This window comes from Homo sapiens, chromosome 17 (genome assembly GCF_000001405.40).
Source record: "Homo sapiens chromosome 17, GRCh38.p14 Primary Assembly".
Classification (NCBI taxonomy): Eukaryota; Metazoa; Chordata; class Mammalia; order Primates; family Hominidae; genus Homo; species Homo sapiens.
The window spans coordinates 69,800,754-69,821,522 of NC_000017.11; the positions used below are offsets into that span (position 1 = coordinate 69,800,754).

The 20,769-nt window shown below is 39.9% G+C and overlaps 1 long non-coding RNA gene across 2 annotated transcripts in view, besides 3 other annotated features; it reads left to right on the top strand.

Annotated features, from left to right (window-relative positions):
- Window positions 1-20,769, top strand: part of LINC01483 (long intergenic non-protein coding RNA 1483) — a 309,014-nt gene that overhangs the window by 206,767 nt on the left and 81,478 nt on the right. The gene's annotated exons all lie outside the window — the stretch shown is intronic.
- Window positions 439-1,401: an enhancer, noted in NCBI's record as "H3K27ac-H3K4me1 hESC enhancer chr17:67797333-67798295 (GRCh37/hg19 assembly coordinates)". NCBI's record gives its function as "activates a minimal SCP1, AML or CMV promoter by ChIP-STARR-seq in naive H9 embryonic stem cells {active_cell/tissue: H9 hESC(naive)}" and the evidence as "EXISTENCE:reporter gene assay evidence [ECO:0000049][PMID:30033119]".
- Window positions 1,402-2,363: an enhancer, noted in NCBI's record as "H3K27ac-H3K4me1 hESC enhancer chr17:67798296-67799257 (GRCh37/hg19 assembly coordinates)". NCBI's record gives its function as "activates a minimal SCP1, AML or CMV promoter by ChIP-STARR-seq in naive H9 embryonic stem cells {active_cell/tissue: H9 hESC(naive)}" and the evidence as "EXISTENCE:reporter gene assay evidence [ECO:0000049][PMID:30033119]".
- Window positions 17,842-18,042: a silencer, noted in NCBI's record as "peak2972 fragment used in MPRA reporter construct". NCBI's record gives its function as "represses an SCP1 promoter by STARR-seq MPRAs in K562 erythroleukemia cells {active_cell/tissue: K562}" and the evidence as "EXISTENCE:reporter gene assay evidence [ECO:0000049][PMID:32103011]".

The window sequence follows — 20,769 nt, forward strand, 5'->3', positions numbered from 1 at the left end:
AAGATGACATGATACAAGGTTAGATTAGCAGATTAAGGATATGTTTCCAGGTGAAGATGGATGAGGCTTCATGCTGGAGTCTTAGAGATTATTGATGTCAGTGGTGTGCTGTCTTGAGTAGCTGCTGTCATCATGCTGGCTGCAGCAGGGAGGCATGGCTGGGGCTGCCTGCTCCATGGAACCAGTGGGAGCCAGGGACATGTGGGAGTCCCACCCCTTCCAAGTTGGGGCGAGAGTTCCCCAGGTGCCACTGCAGCCACCCAAGCCTCAGCTGCGGACCCGGGAACCCCTGTGCTCTCTGGGCCCAGGAGCAGGTGGGAGCCCCACCCTCCTGGGCACAGCTGCAGTTGCCCAACCCATGGCTGCAGACCCAGGCCTCCTGTTGCATGGAGCAGGCAGGAGCTCAACCTTCCCAGGCAGGGCTGCAGCCACTCAAGTCATGGGTGCAGATCCAGGCCTCCTGCTCCAAAGAACAGCAGGAGCCCCACTTTTCTGGGCACAGCTGCAGCTGCCCACGTTGTGGCTGCGGACCCAGGCCTCCTTGTGCTTTTGGGGATGCTAGGAGCAGGCAGGAGTCCTGCACCCCTCAGGCCCAGCTGCAACTGCTGAAACCATGGCTGTGGACTCAAGCATTGCTGCACTCTTGGGGATCTGAGAAGGCTCCCCCTACCCTTGCAGGCTCGAAAGTAGCTGCTTCCACTGCTGGCTTCTCCCTGCTGTTGGTGTCCGTTCCAATCTCAGAGCAAATTCAGGGCCAAGCCCAGGCACTGTCACAGCCCAGCCAGGTGTGCACATGCTCAGGGCAATGCTGACATGCCAGACCTCTGCTGCCTTGGCCACCTCCGGACTTGGGATGCTGATGAGCATAGGAGAGAAGCTGATGAGGGGGCTGAAGGCAGCTTAATGCTGGCCTACAGGTGCCCCTTGGCACCTACAGCCTGGGAGCCATGAACAGCTGCAGGAGAGAGGCAGGTTCCTGGGTGGAAGGGAACAGGTCCCTGGTGAGGCCCCACCTTCAGGACAGGGAGGGCCTGAAAGCTGGGGGCCAGGATGCCAGTCCCACAGACTGGAGTGGGAACTTGTGGTGCTTTTTCCAGGCCTGCCCATGGCTGCCCCTGGACCAATTGGCACACACTTCCTCCCTTCTGAGGCTCATAAAAGCCCTGGGCTCAGCCAAAGCTGAGCAGACATTGGGACGACTGGCTGCTGAGAGGAGGCACCCACTCCAGGGACTTCTCTCTGCTGTGAGCTGCAGACATCAGGATGACCAGCTACAGAGAGGAGCAACCCACTACAGAACCTCCTCTCTGCTGAGAGCTACACAGATGGTGGGATGACCAGCTGGAGAGAGGAGCTACACTCTCTGCTGGGAGTGAACACTTGTTGGGACAACCTGCCTGCAGAGCAGAGCTACTCTCTCTGCTAGGATCTGAACACTCAACAAGGCACCCTGGCTGTGGAAAGGAGCTGCCCCCTTCAGGAGACTGAGCTGTTCTATTGCTTAATGAAGCTCCTCTTTGTCTGGCTCACCCTTCACTTTGCATAATGTATTCTTCCTGGTTTCAGGACAAGAACTTGGGGCCTGCTGAATGGTGAGGCTAAAAGGGCTGTAACACAAACAGGGCTGAAGCATGCCCCTTTCTTGTCACATTGTGGGTGAAGAGAAGGAGAGAAGAGCTGCAGCCTTTCAGGCAGCCCAGACGTGGGAGCTCCCTGAGCCAGGGCTGTGACTCTCTCTCTGGGGCCCTGCAGTTCCTGGCATCTCCAAGCTTTCACGTGCCACTGCATTCCCCGGGGCCAGCCAGGGAAGTGGCTTGCTGTCCACCTGGTCCAGCCACAGCCTCGCAGAGAGCCAGTGCCATGACAGCACCTGGAGCTGCCTGCCCCATGGTAGCTGGCAGGCAACTGGTGGGTCTGACTGCACAGTGGCCAGACCCCACACCCACTCACACACCCATTGCTGCTCCACACCTGACTTGCGTCTCTTTTGAAGCTATGGGATTTAGGCTGGCACCGTGAGCTGTGCACCACCCGCCAGGCTGAGTGGGCAGAATGAGCCCAGCAGGCCCAAGCAAAACTTGGGCAAAGGCACGACTGGCCACAGGTTTCCAGTCAGAAAAGTGACACCCCAAAGATCTGTAACACTAGGGTGATGAGAGATGTGAGGCTTTTCTTTGTATGGAGTTTTAGAGGGGGGTTATGAATATTTTAAGCTGGAAAGTGTAGGGAGACTGAATGGCCCACTGTTCTCAGAGATGAAGAGAGACTTCCTTTGAGATACTGGACTTGGAAGACATTTCTCAGTAGTGTGCTGCTGGAGAGGTATTCTCACTAGAGCACCAGGAAGAATGAAGTATACATACATAAAAATGGAGATCCACGTGATTAATAAACATAAGGTGCACATTATCAATAATAGCCAATTTACTACAAATAAAATGAGATATATTTTGTCTAGGAGATGGATACATGTTAGAAAATAATTTGTTCTACTCTGTGTTGGTGAGGGTGGGAGAAAGATGCACGCTCCTTCACAGTTGTGACCAAATAAGTTAGTACAGCCCTTTGGCAGGGCTAGCTCATGAATATGCAATCTTATTTTGAACATGCATCCCTTTAGCCCAGAAATCCCTTCATGTGGGTCAGTGAGAGTACTTCTTCTCTAGCAGTTGCTACTATGCTATTTCAGTTGTTATCTACCCTGTGTATATAATCCTGTCACTCTTAGTGTTACTACTCACAGAGTTCTCTGCATCTTCTTCAGAATGAATCTTATGTTTGTAGACCATGCACTGGGTTTGGGTCACAAAGGTGTCATTTTTGAATCTTTATTTTTCTACTTACTAACTACATGCTCTATTTTCACTGCAATGTGTCTACATGCTCTATTTTCACTACACACTACAGTGTGTTTACATGCTCTATTTTCACTACACACTACAGTGTGTCTACATGCTCTATTTTCACTACAATGTTTTTCGATGGAAGTCAGGATCATAATTCTCACCTGACGCAACTCAGCACTAAATGAAATGGTGTGTGTGAAATTGCCTGGTGTGATGGGACACACAGTTATCAGTCATGAATGTAAGGTAATGAAAGCAAGCCTTCAAGAAAGCACGTTTTAGTTATTGAGACTTTCCCCGCTGATTCTAATATGAGATGTAATATAAAAATAAAGTCTCCTACACAGATTTGTTATTTTTTCTTTGCTATTTTTTATTCAAATTCAGGTCTACTTGCTCTAATTCAGATCTCCTGACCTGTAGAACATTGTCTGTGTGGCCTGCTGTTCCCATGCCCCTAGAAAATAAGTGGACTCTACTGATTTTCTCAATACTCGGGACTGTTACTTAACATTTGTTTTAAATTTTGTTAGGAAATGAGATTATGACCCAAATAATTATGAGCAGAATAAATTATAAGCATAATAATTTTGAGACAAATATGAGATGAATATAATATCATCATTCAAACTTATTAAAGCCATTTATCCACTTTTTGGGGGGCTAGAATGGCATTTTGTATTTTCCATAGATGGTTTCAACAATTTTAACCATTCTACGTGCAATGTTGAGATGTGGCCTTGTGTAACCACACCAGACCAATCTGGTTCAACTTTTATGTCATGAAGCAGTGAGATGTTTTTCAGTTGCCCTGTGCCCCCAGTTTGAAGGTCACATAACCTGAGCATGCCCAGATGAACCAAGAGTGCACCCTGGGTAGAATGTAAGTGCTCACATTGAGTGGGGACTGAATTACAAAACAGATGCCCTATAGCAGAACCCAGGATCCAATCAAATGGAGCCTTGTTGTCACCCCATGGGAGGATCCAGTCAGATCATGCCTCTTGGCATCACCTCATTGTGAGATCCAATCAAATCACATCTCAGCCTATGCTTATAAAACCTGACCCAGCCCTGCTCAAGGAGACACATTTGAGCATTTCTTCCTATGTCCTTCCCAGTTTACTGGTGCTTTGGTGTTTGGTTTTCCAATGAGTGCAGACAAAATAACCTAGTTTGGTTCAGTAACACTTGCCATCCTCCTTTGAAAAGGTAACGTCTAACTCTCCTCCTCATGAATTCAGGCTGGCTTTATGTCTTATTTGTAACCAATAAACTACACAACACTAGGAAGAATCACTCAGCTGAGTCCTACTCCTGACTTCTTGACCCAAAGGACACAATAAATAATAAAACTGTGTGGGCAACGTCTTGATCCAAAGGATACAATAAATAAAACCGTGTGAGCAGTTCGACATGTAGCAATAGTAACTAGAATAGTAACCATTGATAGAAATAGGTGTGTGGACTTTTTCCAGAATAAATTAGAATGGATATAGAAAAAGAGAGGGGGCAATTGTAGGATTGTTCCCTGGAGAGTTAATGGCATAAATAGTATAGAAGGAAGCACCATTGGCACCAGGCTAGGAAGAGGAAGAAGTAGGGCCCATGAACTGGGTAATGGAGTGAATAAAATATGAGATGTTAAAGATACAGAAATCTCAATTCATCTTAAGGCTGCATGCAGAGGGAGCAAAGAAGTGAAAAAGTTGGAGAATCTGAAGAGTCAGGACATTGTAGTAAGAAAGGGAGTAAAATCCTGGAAATTAAAATTTCAGAAGTAAAGAAATTGGGGAATAATGATTACATGTATAGTAAGCTTTTGAATAATAGAGATGAATGCCGTGAAGGGAGAGGAGATTAGAGTAATTTTCAAGTAGAGTTTTAATGGGTATTAGTCAACTCTTGCGGTGGTGGCAAACAACCTCAATATCTCAGGGGCTTGCAAAAAAAGACATCCTCTTTCATTGATGTCAGGATGAAGTTGGTTATGACCTGGCTCTGCTGGGCTCAGGTCTGTGTGCAAACCCGTTAAGCAGCCAGTGTTTGGAATATGCTGTTCTGTTGGTCAGGACAAAAGGAATGAGACAGAATCAAACAATAAAGCTGTACCTTGAGGTTCAGCCCATATGCAGTATACCTCCTATTCATTTAAATTCCAATGGTCAAAGAAAGTTACAGGACCTACCCCAAAACCAATGGGGCAAAATAAGTACATTTTGCTTCTACGGAAACATGGTGAACAAATAATTTAATCTACCGTGGTTGATAATACAGATAATGAGGTTGTTACAAATGTTATGGGTTCCTAATTTGAAGAGGAAGATTGTAAACCAGTTGCCAAAGCTTAAAAAGACAATCTTTGTAATAGAAATATATAGCTTATATCATCATAAAATTGCCAAAAGATCATGTTAGTATTAAAAATGAGCTAGGCAATGACCACACTTTGGAATTCATGTGCTTTCCATTCTCTAAAGCTATATCCTACAACTATAAACCAATTAAGTGGTTAAACAAAACAAAGTACATGCAGTGAACTACACACATATCTGCAAAATTTCACTACATTTACTCTTTTCCTTTATTGGCAATTTCTTTTTTCAAAGGCATCATAATCTCACTACCTTTTTCTGCTGATAAAAGTGCAGGAGTGAAATGCTAGTTCATTGAGTGGGCTGGAAAATCTTCACGTCTACAGTCAAAAGCTTGGCTAACTTCTTGCATTTCTTTTTGCATTTAATTAGATGCTAAAGATATAGAGACATTATAGTTGAGGAAACTCCAACTATTTGCATGACTCAAGCACTAATTAAAACAAGGGGTTGGACGTGGTGGCTCACGCCTATAATCCCAGCACTTTGGGAGGCCACGGTGGAAGCATCATTTGAACCCGGGGGAGGTAGAGGCTGCAGTGAGCTGTGATCATGTCACTACACTTTAGCCTTGGCAACAAAGAGAGAACCCATCTCAAAAAAAACAAAAAACAAAATACACAAGAATTTTATTTCAAGGAGGAACAGCATGGAAGACTTAGTTCCACTTCTGGTATGTTTTGGGAGGAAATACCCATGAGAATCCCTTGGTAAGATTATCTTCAGAACTTTGTAACTCCAGCTTGTTACAAATAAGGGAGAGGTGAAAACTTGTATCCATTCTTATGTACAGCTTTTTCTAAGAATCTCTTGTATTCTATAAATCTATTGCAATCACAAGAATGAGAATATTATTTGATATATCATGCTCAATAATAACAAAATAGCTAATATTTATTGATCTAAGTTCCAGGCATTTTAATTGTACATAGATTTTATTGATTGAATGATCATAATAACAACTCCATAAAGTATTATTATCAAATCCATTTTATAATTGAGTAACCAAAGTATGAAAGTTTAACTACAAGTCACACAAGTTGCACAAGGTTACATATATAATTGTTAGTGGTGACCAGATTCAAATCCAGGTAGTGTGGCTCGAAAACCTGAATTAACCTATGCAATATACCCATGGTTCTCAAACTGTGTACTGAGACACTCTTGGATAATGTAAGCAAACTCCTGGAGTTACTTTGGGATATTTTAATTTTTCTAGAGAAACACAGCAACATCTATTAGACACTATAGATGACTATATCTAAGTCATTTAAACCTGACTTAGTACATGGAATTGCTATTTCTTTTGGCCTATCGTTGCCTTGAAAAAGCTTCTGAAACACTGAGAGTGTTATAATCTAAGAGTATTTGCTAACCTCTGCAGTATGCTGTCTTCAGATAGCAACTTAGGCATGTAGTAGGATTCCAGACATCTCTATCGCTGGCCACCAGCATCTTTTACAACTAAATCATCGGCATCACTGTTTTGTTTTGTTTTGTTTTGTTTTTAAATTAGAATTGTTAGCACTTTTTATTTTAATCCTTACTATTAACATTATTATTTTGAGCAGTTATTATCATATAAATATGAAATAAGTTTGGGTAAAAAAAAATTGTAAGGAGAGCAACCTGCTTTGTTTTTGCTCACTCTGGGTTCCTAAAAATTGAATCTAATAGGAAGCGTTCACCTGATGCAGCTATTCATGGATAAGAAATGTTAGAGTGGTATTTTAACTCAGGACTTCATATCAAGGTGAAAGAAATGTATTGACATTCACTAATAGCATAGTTTGTAATTGAAACTATACATAATTTAATATGCGAATTTATACTTCAGAAATATTCTCAACTTTCTCAAGAAAATTTTGGCATTGAAATTGTTTTCTATTATGAATCTTCAGTTTTTCCTTCCTAGAAATTTGGTGATAATTCTTAACTATTAACATTACAGATACAGTTCAGGCCAGAACTGAAATTTTCTTATAGATTTTTGGAATCTGTTATGATAGTCCACTTAGTCTAATACAATTACACAATTCTTGCTCAGGACACTTATTAACTACTAAAGCATTCGTAATCTTTGCTTATGTACCTGTGTAAGGTTTATATTGAATATATTAACCATGTTCCTGGGAAGCCATTGTTTTCATCTAATATTTTCTGCTAATTTTTGGCCACCTTTTCTCCTTGTTATAGAAAATGGCAGGACAGAGCTCTATTTTTCTGCTTCTCTAACAGAATCACTCCGGGCTTTCCTTTTCTTTTTTTTTTTTTTTTTTTTTTTTGAGACGGAGTCTCGCTCTGTCGCCCAGGCTGGAGTGCAGTGGCGGGATCTCGGCTCACTGCAAGCTCCGCCTCCCGGGTTCACGCCATTCTCCTGCCTCAGCCTCCCAAGTAGCTGGGACTACAGGCGCCCGCCACTACGCCCGGCTAATTTTTTGTATTTTTAGTAGAGACGGGGTTTCACCGTTTTAGCTGGGATGGTCTCGATCTCCTGACCTCGTGATCCGCCCGCCTCGGCCTCCCAAAGTGCTGGGATTACAGGCGTGAGCCACCGCGCCCGGCCCGGGCTTTCCTTTTCTATGCAGTATTAATAATTATCTGGCCAAGGCCATGAGAGTCATGTTTAAAACCCTTTAAGATAAATCTCTCTGCTTAGCATGTGTCAATCAAATGGATTACCCATTCTTCAGGAACATGGCTTAACTTGTCTAAAGCCGTTAAACATGAATCCTTACCTCAATCTCCACTGAGTAATAGTAGCCTGGGTATTTTGGCCCAATAATCTGTCTATAATTGGGTGGCCTTGTTGATATACTGCAGGGTTATAAACTGAATGTTTCACCCTCAAATTCTTACGTGAAAGCCCTAACCCTTAATGAAATGGTATTTGGAGATGGGGCCTTTGAAAGGTAATCAGGGTTAGGTAAGGTCAAAAATGTGGGGCCCTCATGATAGGATTAATGTCCTCATGAGAAGAGACATTAGAAAGCTTGCTTCCCCTCCTTTTCGCCATCACTTGAAGACACAGCAAAAAGGCGGCTGTCTGCAAGGCAGGAAGAGAGCCCTCACCGGAACCCAACCATGCTGGCATCCTGATCTCATTCTTTTAGCTTCCAGAACTTTGAGAAAATGAATGTTTGTTGTTTAAGCTGCACAGTCTCTGGTATTTTGTTATGGTGACCCAAGCTAACTAGCATATCTAGGTATTCATTATTTGGGTTGCTTTTTTGATTGATGATCAGTATTCTAATGTCTTGTCAACTAATTTTGTCATATAATAACATAGACTGATAACCTATATGCACTATAAATTAAATAAAATAAGGTCATAAACAACCTTGACTAAAGCATCAAGCATCATTGTTTTTGCCTAAAATGAACAGATTCTCCAATTTTCTTCTTATTGGGCTGAAGACATGTAGCCATCAATTATTATCTTTAGAGAAAATTTACAAAAATGTAGACAAGCAATGTAGATTCCTACTGCTCAGAAAACAGACCACTCTTGCTGGCATAGCACATAACTCAGCTATGAGTGAAACTGTAGCCAGTCTGTGACTACGGGGGTAATGTCCAGACATTGCTTGAAATGTTAGAACATGTCTCAGTAGCATTATGTTTTGTAATAACAAGAATTGTAAACAAATACAATCACATTAAGCCTGAAATGCTGAATGTGCTGGCACAATAGATGATTCAGTATTTAATTCTGAAATGAATATAATTTTAGTAATTTGGGAGAATGCCTCTCTGAGTGAGACTTCTTCCTTTTTTTTTTTTTTTTTTTTGCTTTGTTAAAAACTTTTCTGAAAGATTAGTTTGTTTACAGCTGTTTTGGTGACCATCAATTGAAAATGGAAGGAAAACCTTAACATGCCAATAATCCTGTATTTTTGTGTGTACGAAGTGGAAAAATAAGTACTGTATTGTATTTCATACACCATTGTATCTGTGAGTTGAGACAAATTTAGCATACAAATATTCATATAACTTCCTCTATATTGTAGTATTGCATGCTATTGAGACCTTATCTATGAGAGCTTTCTCATTGCATTCATAAAAACAATTTATTAAAATACGAAGGCTTATTTTTAGCCATGTAAAAGATATCTATTTACTAATTTCAAATTTACTGTTTATTGTTACCATTTTGATAGATCTTTCTGATTTTGACCCTCACCTATTTTCTTTACTTCATGCCTTTAAGGTTTCTTTCTAGGGCTGTGTCTCAAAATGTGTCTCAGATATAAGAGGGTTCCCCAGTGCTGGTCCAGTGACTGAGGTGAGAAAAGATATATAAGAATATACCCTGGAACTTTAAAAAGTATTAGGCTTGGTGTCTACGCTCAAGAAATTTTCATCTTGTAAGATCTGAGATGTGATCCAGGAATCCGTTATTTTTTAACTCCCAATTTCATTTTGACATTCAGCCAAGAGTAGGAACCACTGAAATGGTTGAGTATTAGCTGGTACCTTTCTTGTTTATGATGACCTAGTGTTGAGGCTGATACTGTAGAGTGCTTGGCCTGTGAAACAAAGTCGAATTCATGTGATGATTAATTTTATGTGTCAACTCGAGTGGGCCATGAGATGCTCAGAGTAAACATTCTTTCTGGGTGTATCTGTGAGGGTGTTTCCAGATCAGACAACCATTCCAATTGGTGGATTCAGTAAAGTAGATTGCCCTCCGCAATGGGGCGGGGGCGGGGGGCATCATCTAATCCATTGAAAAAGAAGAAATAAAACAGAAGGTAGAAGAAGAAGGAATTTGCTTTTTTTTTTTTTTTTCTTGGCTCACTGAGCTGAGACATCTGATCTCACCTTCTCCTGCCTTCAGACTGGGGTTTACATCCTCATCTTCCCTTGTTCCTAGGCTTTTTGAGTCAGACTGAATTACATCACTGACTTTCCTAGGTCTTGAGCTTGCATATGGTAGATCATGGGACTTCTCATCCTCCATAAGACTGTGAGCCAATTCCCATAATAAATCTCATGTGTATATGCACACATTCACACTATTGGTTCTATGCATACTGTATATTATAATCTTCATTATGTATAAAATATTTATATAATATTTAATATTTATATCCTATTTATTTTATATTATAAAATAGGATATATAATATGTATCCTATCTATCTTATTTCTCCAGATAACTCTGACTAATATAATTCATCAAAACAGTAGGCAGTTCCGAATATCATATCATCTCTTGGCCTGAGGTTCTAAACTTGTGTAATAAAAACTTTGAACGACCTCTAAAAATTGATGAATTTGTAACGCAAACAGACTTCTTTTAGTTCTCCATTATGTCTTCATGGGCAGTTTTAGTCTTTGCTATTTTCTGAGATTACTCTGGTTATCATGATAATACAATTTCTTTATCATTGTCGAAATTACATTATCTACTATCTAGTTAGAGATTTATTTCTCTTTAGCTGGAACTATGTAGGACTCTTTGAAATATTTACCTTTTCTCTGAGGCCACTCCTCTTCCTTAAGCCTGCTGATTGGGTATATATTTGGCTTAGGCAAATTCATCATTGTTATTAAAATAATGATACTATATATGGCCTACTGATTCTAGGCTGATTATCTTACCTTCATATTAGAAATCAAATGTATAGAGATTAGAAAACCATGAAGTTATGTAGAAAAGATAAATAAATCACTTTTTTTTCATTTAGACTGCAATGAGAAAGAATTGGTAGTTATTATGAGAGTACATAGGAAGGGTACTAAAATCAATCTTCAGGACTAAAAAAAATTTTTGTGAGGGTGACATCTAGGCATCATCTTAAACAATGAGCAAGAAGTAGCCAGACACAGGTGATTAGAAAGATGTTTTAGGCAGAAGAGATAGCATGAGCAAAGTCATGGAGATTAGAAGTTAAGGTGTGTTTCCTGAGGCTGAAAATACTTGGATTTGCTTGAACATGAGATATGATCAGGGAGAAAATGAGTTTTGATTGCTTATGAGTTTAGAATTAGATAGTGAAGTACAATCAAGTACAGATGACTCCTTCTAAAGGCAGCGCCAGCCCAGGTAAAACAAAAATACAGATTCAGCATCAAAAGCTGTGTCTGACTCCAAACTTCAGTTTTTGTCACTATACCTTACATGTTATGATATAATGTATAATAATTTGACAGCATCGATACCACTTGGTTACCAGAAAAAATGCATATGATGTAAGCGTGAGGGTAAGAGTGAGTTATCATTTTACTCTACTGAGACAGGAATAATACAGGGTGATTGCAGGAGAATAGAAAATTTCAGGCAGCAGTTTTACATGACTAGCAAAAGGAAGCCGGTGAAATAGCTGTGTATGTTAGGTAATAGCTGATAAACCCCTAAAAAACCAGAGTGTGGGCCAAGCTGGCTAAGACTGACTGGTCCCTACATAGTGCTAGATTTGACCTAGGTTTCACCTAGGACCTCATTATCTGCTCATTAACATTCTCAATTACACACCCACCAGCACCAGGACAGTTCTGGGAACACGTATATCTAGTGTAAAAATGGGTGGCACTGTACTTCCAAGAAATCTTTACCTTTTTCCAAGAATCTTCATAAATATTCCACTCCTTGGTTAAACAAACCCATAAAGGTAGAAACCTCAAACCTCATTGCACAACTCACTCTCCTGAGTGCACCCACACCCCTCTTTATTTCTTGTGTACTTTTCATTTTGCAATACATCTCCATACTTTTCACTATTTTCTGACTCATCCTTGAATTCCTTCTCACGATGGTGTCAAGAGCCTTGAAACCACTGGGGTTGACATCCCACTGGTGTTTGAGGACCTCCCTTAGCACACTGGTATCACTACCACTCTTCTTTAATAAACCCGTAAGTGCCTGATTATATATTAGAAGCTGATGGAGGTAAGATAATTGCATTCTCCAAAGGCTTCTCTTGAATAGATGTGCTTATGAAGGAGATTGATTGTAAGTTCCTGGAGGTCAGTGATACCTTATTTATACTTCTACGTCTCCAGTGCTTCACCCAGTGCTAGTACAGTGGGCCCTTTATATACATGGGTTCTGCAGATTAAACCAACTGAAGACCAAAAATATTTAGAAAAAATATTCCAGAGTTCCCAAAAGTGAAATTTGAATTTGCCATGCTAAACGTACTACTATGTTGAATCCCTGTGAATGAAGTCATGTGTAGGCATTGTATTAGGTATTATAAGTAATCTAGAGATGATTTAAAGTATACAGGAGAGTACACATAGGTTATATGTAAATATTTTGCCATTTTATATACTAGAGTTCAGCATCCTTGGATTTTGATATCTACAGGCATCCTGCAGTCAATCCCGCAATTGCTAGTGAGGGATGACTTGCATATAATAATGACTTAATTAATCTTATTTGGATGAATGTAATGGGCGGGATGAAACAGCTAAAGATAAGGAACTAATGCCATATAAGGTACTCTTAAATGTAAAATCATCATAAGAGTGTATAAAGTTATATGTAAGATTAAAATATAGAAAAAAAGTCACTTTAATAAGACATTTCACTTTGCTTCCAACAGGCACGTTGGTATCTGGAGAGAGAGGGGAGGAGGAGGAGAAAAAGAAACAGATAGACAGAGGAGAGAGACAAAACCAAAATTAGTTGCTCTTGATATTAATTTTTCAATTGATTTAATATTAGAAACCACAAACATCTACAAGTGAAATGTTATAGTTTAAGAATCAGGCCTCTCACCAGAACGATCAAAACAGTGGCTCCACAAAGTAGAAGTATTACACTAGTTCAGGAGAATGTAATTGCAGACAAACAAAGAGCCCCTATGAGTTCCAATGATTGCTATGAGTTCTTTTATAACAACTCAAAAACATATATGCTGTTGGAAAATATTTACTGGTCATGAAAGCACAGCGTTTAATCTGCTTTGTTTCTCAGAAGCCTGCTTACTTCACCCCATTCTTTATTTTTATTGGATTCTTTTGGAGAACACAAATTACAAGAGGCATTTGTAAGCAGGAAGGTGATTAATAATAAAAACCAACTGAAATGATGATGTATTACCATTCGTGCTGATGTGTAGAGACCAAAAATATAAAATCTCAACAGTTTTCCCTGATTGCACTAGAAAATTAAAACCAAACTCTGGATATGTGGAAAGGGTTTGATTAGAGACAGGTGAAAGCATTAGGTTATTCTAGAATCCTCTGTGGTTTTAAGGTTGGGTCTCTGATAGCCTGTGCATGTTCAGACCAAACACATTTCAAAATGCTGCAGGGGCCAAGTCTGTGCTTCATCGTAACAGAGACATGGTTTCAGACTTTGGGAATGAAGAAGTATAAGGTCATGCAATGAACTCTCCAAGTGCAAAGATGTTAATTTGATTATGAATTCCTGACAATTCCATGGATTCACTTCATTTTGCCCAGCCATAAGACAGAAGCAATTAAAATGATTAGTCTTTAATTATGTTTTAGTCATCTATCTCTTTTTGCTGTCTTTAAAGGATGTGATTTTCATTTAAATTGTTAGCCAACTTTCATTCTGTATCATTTTCCTTAGTTTTTATAATGATTTGAAAATACTTCAACATACACTATACTTCAAAATTTTACTTAGTTGCATGAATTTTTAGGTATCAGCTACTCACCCTGTAATATCTCATTTCCATCATAATCAAATGTAAATTTTATTTCATTTTATTGTGATAAGAACACTTAACATGACATCTTACTCCTTTAACAATTTAAGTGTACAATATATTATTATGGACTCTAGGTACAATGTACAGCAGATCTCTAGAGCCTATGCATCTTGCTTGACTAAAACTTTATACCAATTGATTAATAATTCCCCATTTCCTTCTCCCCTCAGCAGCTGGCAACCACCATTTCACTCTTTGATTCTATCAATAGGACTATTTTAGGTACCTCATAGAAATGGAATCATGCAGTATGCGTCTTTCTGTGGATGGCCTATTTCATAAAAGTTCAACTATGTTGTCTTTGCAGAATTTTCTTCTTTTCTCTAAGGCTGCATCATATTGCATTGTATGTATATACCACATTTCTTTATCTGCCTTTCATCTCTCAAGACATTTAGGGGCCGGGAGGTGGCAGCTCATGCCTGTAATCCCAGCACTTTGGGAGGCCGAGGTGGGTGGATCAGGAGGTCAGGAGATAGAGACCATCCTGGCTGACACGGTGAAACCCCATCTCTACTAAAAATACAAAAACAAAATTAGCCGGGCACGGTGGTGGGTGCCTGTAGTCCCAGCTACTCGGGAGGCTGAGGCAGGAGAATGACATGAACCCGGGAGGCGGAGCTTGCAGTGAGCCGAGATCGTTCCACTGCACTCCAGCCTGGGCAACAGAGTGAAACTCCATCTCAAAAAAAAAAAAAAAAAAAAAAAAAGACATTTAGGTCATTTCCAATGTTGACTACTATGAGGTAGTGCTCGATAAACATAAAAGTGCTAATATTTTTTCCACATTGTAATTTAATTATTTTTGATAAATATCCAGAACTGGGATTGCTGAATTATATAGTAGTGCTATTTTTGTTTTAAGGGGGGAACTTCTACACTGTTTTCCATAGCAGCTGCACCATTTTGTAATCCCGCCAATAGTGTGGAAAGGTTCCAATTTTTCTACATCTTCGTCCAACACTGGTTGTCTTTTGTTTTACTGATAATAGCCATCCTGACAGATGTGCGAGGATATCTCATTGTGCTTTTGATATGCATTTTTCATATATTTGTTGGCATTAATATGTCTTCTCCAGAGAACTATCTAGTCAAGCCCTTAGCTCCTCAAAAAATTCTGGTTATTAGGTTTCTTTTTTTCTGTTGAATTGTAGGAGTTACATATATGACATTTTGGAGATTCATTCCACTACGAGATGTATGGTTTGCAAATATTTTCTCCCATTATGTAGGTTGTCTTTTCACTCTGTTGATGGTTTTCGTTTGTTGAAATGTAAATTTGAAATATTTAGAAGGCAAATGAACTTTGGTGCTTTGGTTGTGCTATAGAGGAAAGACATGGGGCCTTTGAAAGTGAAGTAAAATGTCAATGCAGATAGGCAGAAGGGGAAATAGAGTTTGCGCATGACGTGCACTCAGGTGTCAGAATTTCCTTGGGCTTTCTTTTAAAATGTTGGATTATTATTTTTCTTGGATGCTACTGATATTTTCATAATCATCCACCTGTTTCTTTGGTTAGTTACATAAAAATAATAGGTGATCTTTCCCATTTTAGCCAAAATTGTCTTGATATTCAGGGAACTGGTGTGTCCCCAATTGATTTCAATCCAAAGAACCAATTTTCTTTGGAATAAAATTATTTAGACAATACTGATTTTAACACTTCATAGAAGAAAGGTGGTAAGAAATTTTCTGAAAGGGAAGTCATAGAAATTTCTTTGAGATTTGGTGTTGACTTGACACACAGACACACACACACGCATGCACACACACAGAAAATTTAACTATTATATATGATTAAATTTTCTCCTGCTGATTCTATCCGTGTGTGACCTGAGACATTATTTGAGACCTTAGCAATCTTCAAGGTTTTATCTTTGGTGTCCTGTTAATCCACTTATTTAAACTCAACTGATGTTCAAAAAGTGCATGAACTCCCTGAAAGAAAAAACCTCATTTTTCATTCCCCACCCTCCTGCCTTCCTTGATTTGTTTACACTCTTGTGATTACTGTCATTTGATTGTCCAGCTATTTCTCACTGATAACTATCCCTGTTGCAATGATTATGAAGAGAACAGAAAAGTGAACACAATGTTCTCAGTTCTGTCTACATTCAGAACTATAATCTTGCGGCTGCCTTTGGAGACTATAGTAGAAGAATAAGATGCACTTTCTTCTAAGTTTGGCAGAGGGCTAATGTTTGGATGGGAAAATATGTTCCTTTTTTTTTTTTTTTTTGAGACATGGTTTCACTCTCATTGTCCAGGCTGGAGTGCAATGGTGTGACGTCGCTCACTGCAACCTCCGCCTCCTGTGCTCAAGAGATCCTCCCACCTCAGCCTCCTGAATAACTGGGACCACAGGTGCATACCACCATGCCTGCACAATTTTTGTATTTTTTGTAGAGATGGGGTTTCGCCATGTTGTCCAGGCTGGTCTTGAACTCCTGGGCTCAAGCAATCCACCCACCTCGGCCTCCAAAAGTGCTGGGATTACAGTGTGAGCCACGGCGCCTGACCTTATGTTCAATTTTAACTGAGATTCACATTTTACATATTTTTGATCATATAAAGTCAGTTGGAGAATGGGTAGTTGATGGGTGCAGACAAAAAATAACTTCACTTTCAATCGCTATTTTATCTTGTTAATCAAACTCAATCACAATTAACAAATATTAAGCACATATCATCCATCCATTGCTCCGATGGAAATTGGGAAATAAACTTGAGTCAATAGAGGTGACTTATGTGTTCATTGACTATTTACACAAAATTATCATAGTTATCTGTGAGTTTGGTGACTAAAATAAAGTATTTTTTAAGTATGATTTCACAGCTGTAAAGCTGGCTTTGTCTATGGTTTTGATGTGGCATTTCTAGAACATAGCCTGTAATCTTATATTTTGATATTTTTTCTTTTATTTCTGAGTCTCAGTTAACTATTTACCAATATTTATAAGAAGACAGAACCAACCCAAATGTCCAACAATGATAGACTGGATTAAGAAAATGTGGCATATATACACCATGGAATACTATGCAGCCATAAAAAATGATGAGTTCATGTCCTTTGTAGGGACATGGATGAAATTGGAAATCATCATTCTCAGTAAACTATTGCAAGGACAAAAAACCAAACACTGCATATTCTCACTCATAGGTGGGAATTGAACAATGAGAACACATGGACACAGGAAGGGGAATATTACACTCTGGGGACTGTTGTGGGGTGGGGGGAGGGGGGAGGGATAGCTTTAGGAGATATACCTAATGCTAAATGACAAGTTAATGGGTGCAGCACACCAGCATGGCACATGTATACATATGTAACTAACCTGCACATTGTGCACATGTACCCTAAAACTTAAAGTATAATAATAAAACCAAACAAAACAAAAAAGAAGACAGGTTGACATGAAACAATAAAAGATTGATGTGGTATGTCCCACTGGGAAAACTGTCCTTGGATATATCCTGAATCTTTTTCATGCCTTGAACTGACATAAAAGTCTTTATTTAAGGAACCTTTTTACAATATTTAAAACATATCTACTGCTCACTCATTCACAGAAACATCAGAAATCCTGAGGTCTTGATTTAATTAAGGCTGATTGACATCAGGCTTCTGAAGTACAAAATTTGTTATCCTGCCTGTGATATTTCCTTCACATATTCTTTATGAAGTCATTGTCTCCAAGAAGTATCTCCTTTTAAGATCCTCAGTCTGCCCTCTCATCTGGTTCCCATAGGTAAATGTAAATGTTACATAATATGCATGGACAGTGTGTATTTATATTTACATTTACCCACAGTGCTCAACCCGTGTCTTAGGCACTTGTTCAAAGGAGGGATGCCTCAACTCAAAGACATCCAGGTCAAAAACACATTTGTGGCATATTTTCAATCATTTCCAAATGTACACATTCAGAGTGGGATAAAGGAGTGGAGAAGAGTCATGCATAAGAACTTCTTATCTTTTTGGAGACTCGTGTCTAAAGATGTTTCCGTAAAAATGTGGGCATGCTTCCAGGGACTAGTGAAATAACTTTGCACTTTCTTCGCTTTCCTTGAGATGAAAAAGAGAACAGCAGGCTGATTCCTGTGTGTCCTGACTCCAGATACCTTACCGAGCGAGTGAACCCTATTGACTTGGGAGGATCCTGCAATTCTAGAGGTGGGATATGGTATGGACCTCCTCAAGCCTCTTTTGAAATTACTGTTTACCAAAACAACTTTTTAAGAAGCTAGCTTAGTGCACTCAGAACTTTCATTTTCTAGTACATTTGAAAATATTTTCATTTTTTTCTTTTTCTTATTTACATGTAACAGTTTAAATCCAACATTTTTATAGTAGCTGCCTTCTGTAAGTACCCCCATTCAGAGTTCTGCCAGGTGAGTGGGTGTGTATCCCAGGTCAATCTCCTTGTGAAACTGCTTAGAGATGGCAAATAGTTAAGGCAGCAAAATCATTTGCGTGGCTTTCTACATGCAGTAGAACAACACTCTTCAAATCTCTGTAAATGCAATTTAGTACATGAATTTTTAAGGTGGAAAAATTCAATTTCTTCTTAAAATGGTGATTTTCCTGATTCTACTGAAAGGATAGCCCATTGTAAGTCTTTGGATCTCACAGGCAATCAAGGTCCCTGGGCACTTTAACAAAAAATAACTAATACTATTAAAAGCGTCACTTTAAGTTCACAAGAATTTTCTTACACACAGATATTTAAGGAATTCTGAAACAATGTCAACAGATTTGGGTAAGTTGGTAAAGTCATTTTCTATTATTTATTTTAAAGTGGTTTAAAAACTGGACTGTTTTGTAGCCCTGAAGCCTCCCTTAACCACGAACACCAAAATAGCCACATGGCTCCTTTTTATCGGCTGCTACTTAAAACCAAACTCTGAATCATTTGTGGGAATCTGAACTTTCCCTGGGAGTCCACCAGCATCTAATTTCTGTATATGGATAAATTAAAAAGGATAATTTGCTTCAGTTTTAATTTCATCTCCATTTTCTTATTTTCCACATTTCCTAAACTTCAGCAATCAAAATACCACACTTCTGAATCTATTTATGTTTTGTTTCCATTTTTTTTTTCAATGGCTGGGTGTACATTTTCCCTTAAAGAGACTTTCACAACATTTTTTCTATGCCCAGGAATTGCTGCATTCTTCTGGTGACAGGCTGCTCACTCTGTGCCACAGCTGCTGCTCCAAACAGCAAAGGCTGAGTGGTCTGGCTCACCATCACGGGACTGTCAGTCCATTTTCTCCCCTCTCCTACTAACCTTTGAGCACATGTAGAAAAGAAAATCAGTATATGGTTTTTTCTCTGCCTCATTTGCTAATTAACTTCCTGTTCTTCATGCATTGCAAGCAACCAAGGTCACAGAGAAATCCCGCTGCTACCAAGTTAATAGTTATTTCACAGAAAATACTGTTGTGTATCAACTCATTCTATCCCCAAACCTGTTTTCTTCTCCTGTAAGATAGTCTATGAAACCACTTATAGTAACTGGAACATAGATGTAGAGGTAATTGACATTATTGAATATCTATGGTCTTCTTGGGTGACTTGGTGAATAATTTATATTATGTGTTGAGTGAACTTCTTTATTTTTCTATTTATATGACCAAATGTCACTACTTGGAAATCCTAAACATTCCACTTATTCATTCCTACCTTTTTGGTTTGATATCGCTGAGTCCTATGGTGACTTACCTCTATTGGCCATAAAATTATTTTATATGAATGTTTTATTTTCCTTAATGAATTGCAAGGACTCTGTTTTACTACTTTTGTATCCTCCTTCTCTGCCTAGTGGTACTGGTAATAACAGCTAACATGTATTGAGAAGCCTTGATGGAGCAAGCCTCTACTCTTTGTATCAGTGGTCACATTTAATCTTTGTAGGAACTCTAATGGAACAACATTATTGTCCTCATTTCTCCGATGAGAAAATGGAGGCTTAGGGAACTTTTCTGAGGTTACGTAGATAGCCAGTTGTAGAATGAGTATGGGATTTGAGAAAACTGGACTACAGTGCCTTTAATACTGCCTAAGTAGACTCCTGGACATGCACTGTATAAACCTAACTTCGGGTCCTTTTATTTCTTTCCCCTTCATACTACTCATTCATCTGCAGAGTTTGTGAAGAGAAGGCTGGGTAGAGCCTGCTTGGACGTGTGCTTTGATGCACCGAGTCAGGATTTGGAAAGGCTGAAGGTCTATTGGCCTCTGAGTTTTCTGATGGGAACCTCAACTCCTAGAAAACTCCTGAAACAAATCATAACCTCGTAAGTGCCATTACATAAAACTCTAGTGATGACAGTGGCAGGCCATCTGGAGCAGCTGCTGCCACCATGCCAGCTGCAGCAGGGAGGTGCGGCCTGGCTGCATAGTCTATGGAGCCAGTGGTAGCTGGAAACAAGCAAAGCCCCGCCCCTTCTGTGTTAGGGCAGAGGCTCCCAAGGTGCTGCTTCAGCTGCCCAAGCCACAGCTGCAGACCCAGGCATTTCTGTGCTCCTGGGGCCCAGAAGCAGGCAGGAGGCCCACCCTCCCAGGTGCAGCTGCAGCCACCCAAGTCATGGCTGTAGACCCAGGCCTCCACCTCCACGGAGCAGGCAGGAGTCCGACTCTAGCCACCCACCGCCTCACTCCTGCACAGTGGCACCTGCCCAAACCATGACTGTGAACCCAGGTATCTTTGCACTCTTGGGGGCCTGGGAAAGCCCCCCTTCACTTGCAGGCTCAGAAGTGCCTGCTCCCACTGCCTGGCTTCTCCCTGCTGTTGGCATCCACTCCGATTCTGAAGCAAAGTCGAGGCTGTACTCAGGCACTGTTGCAGCCTG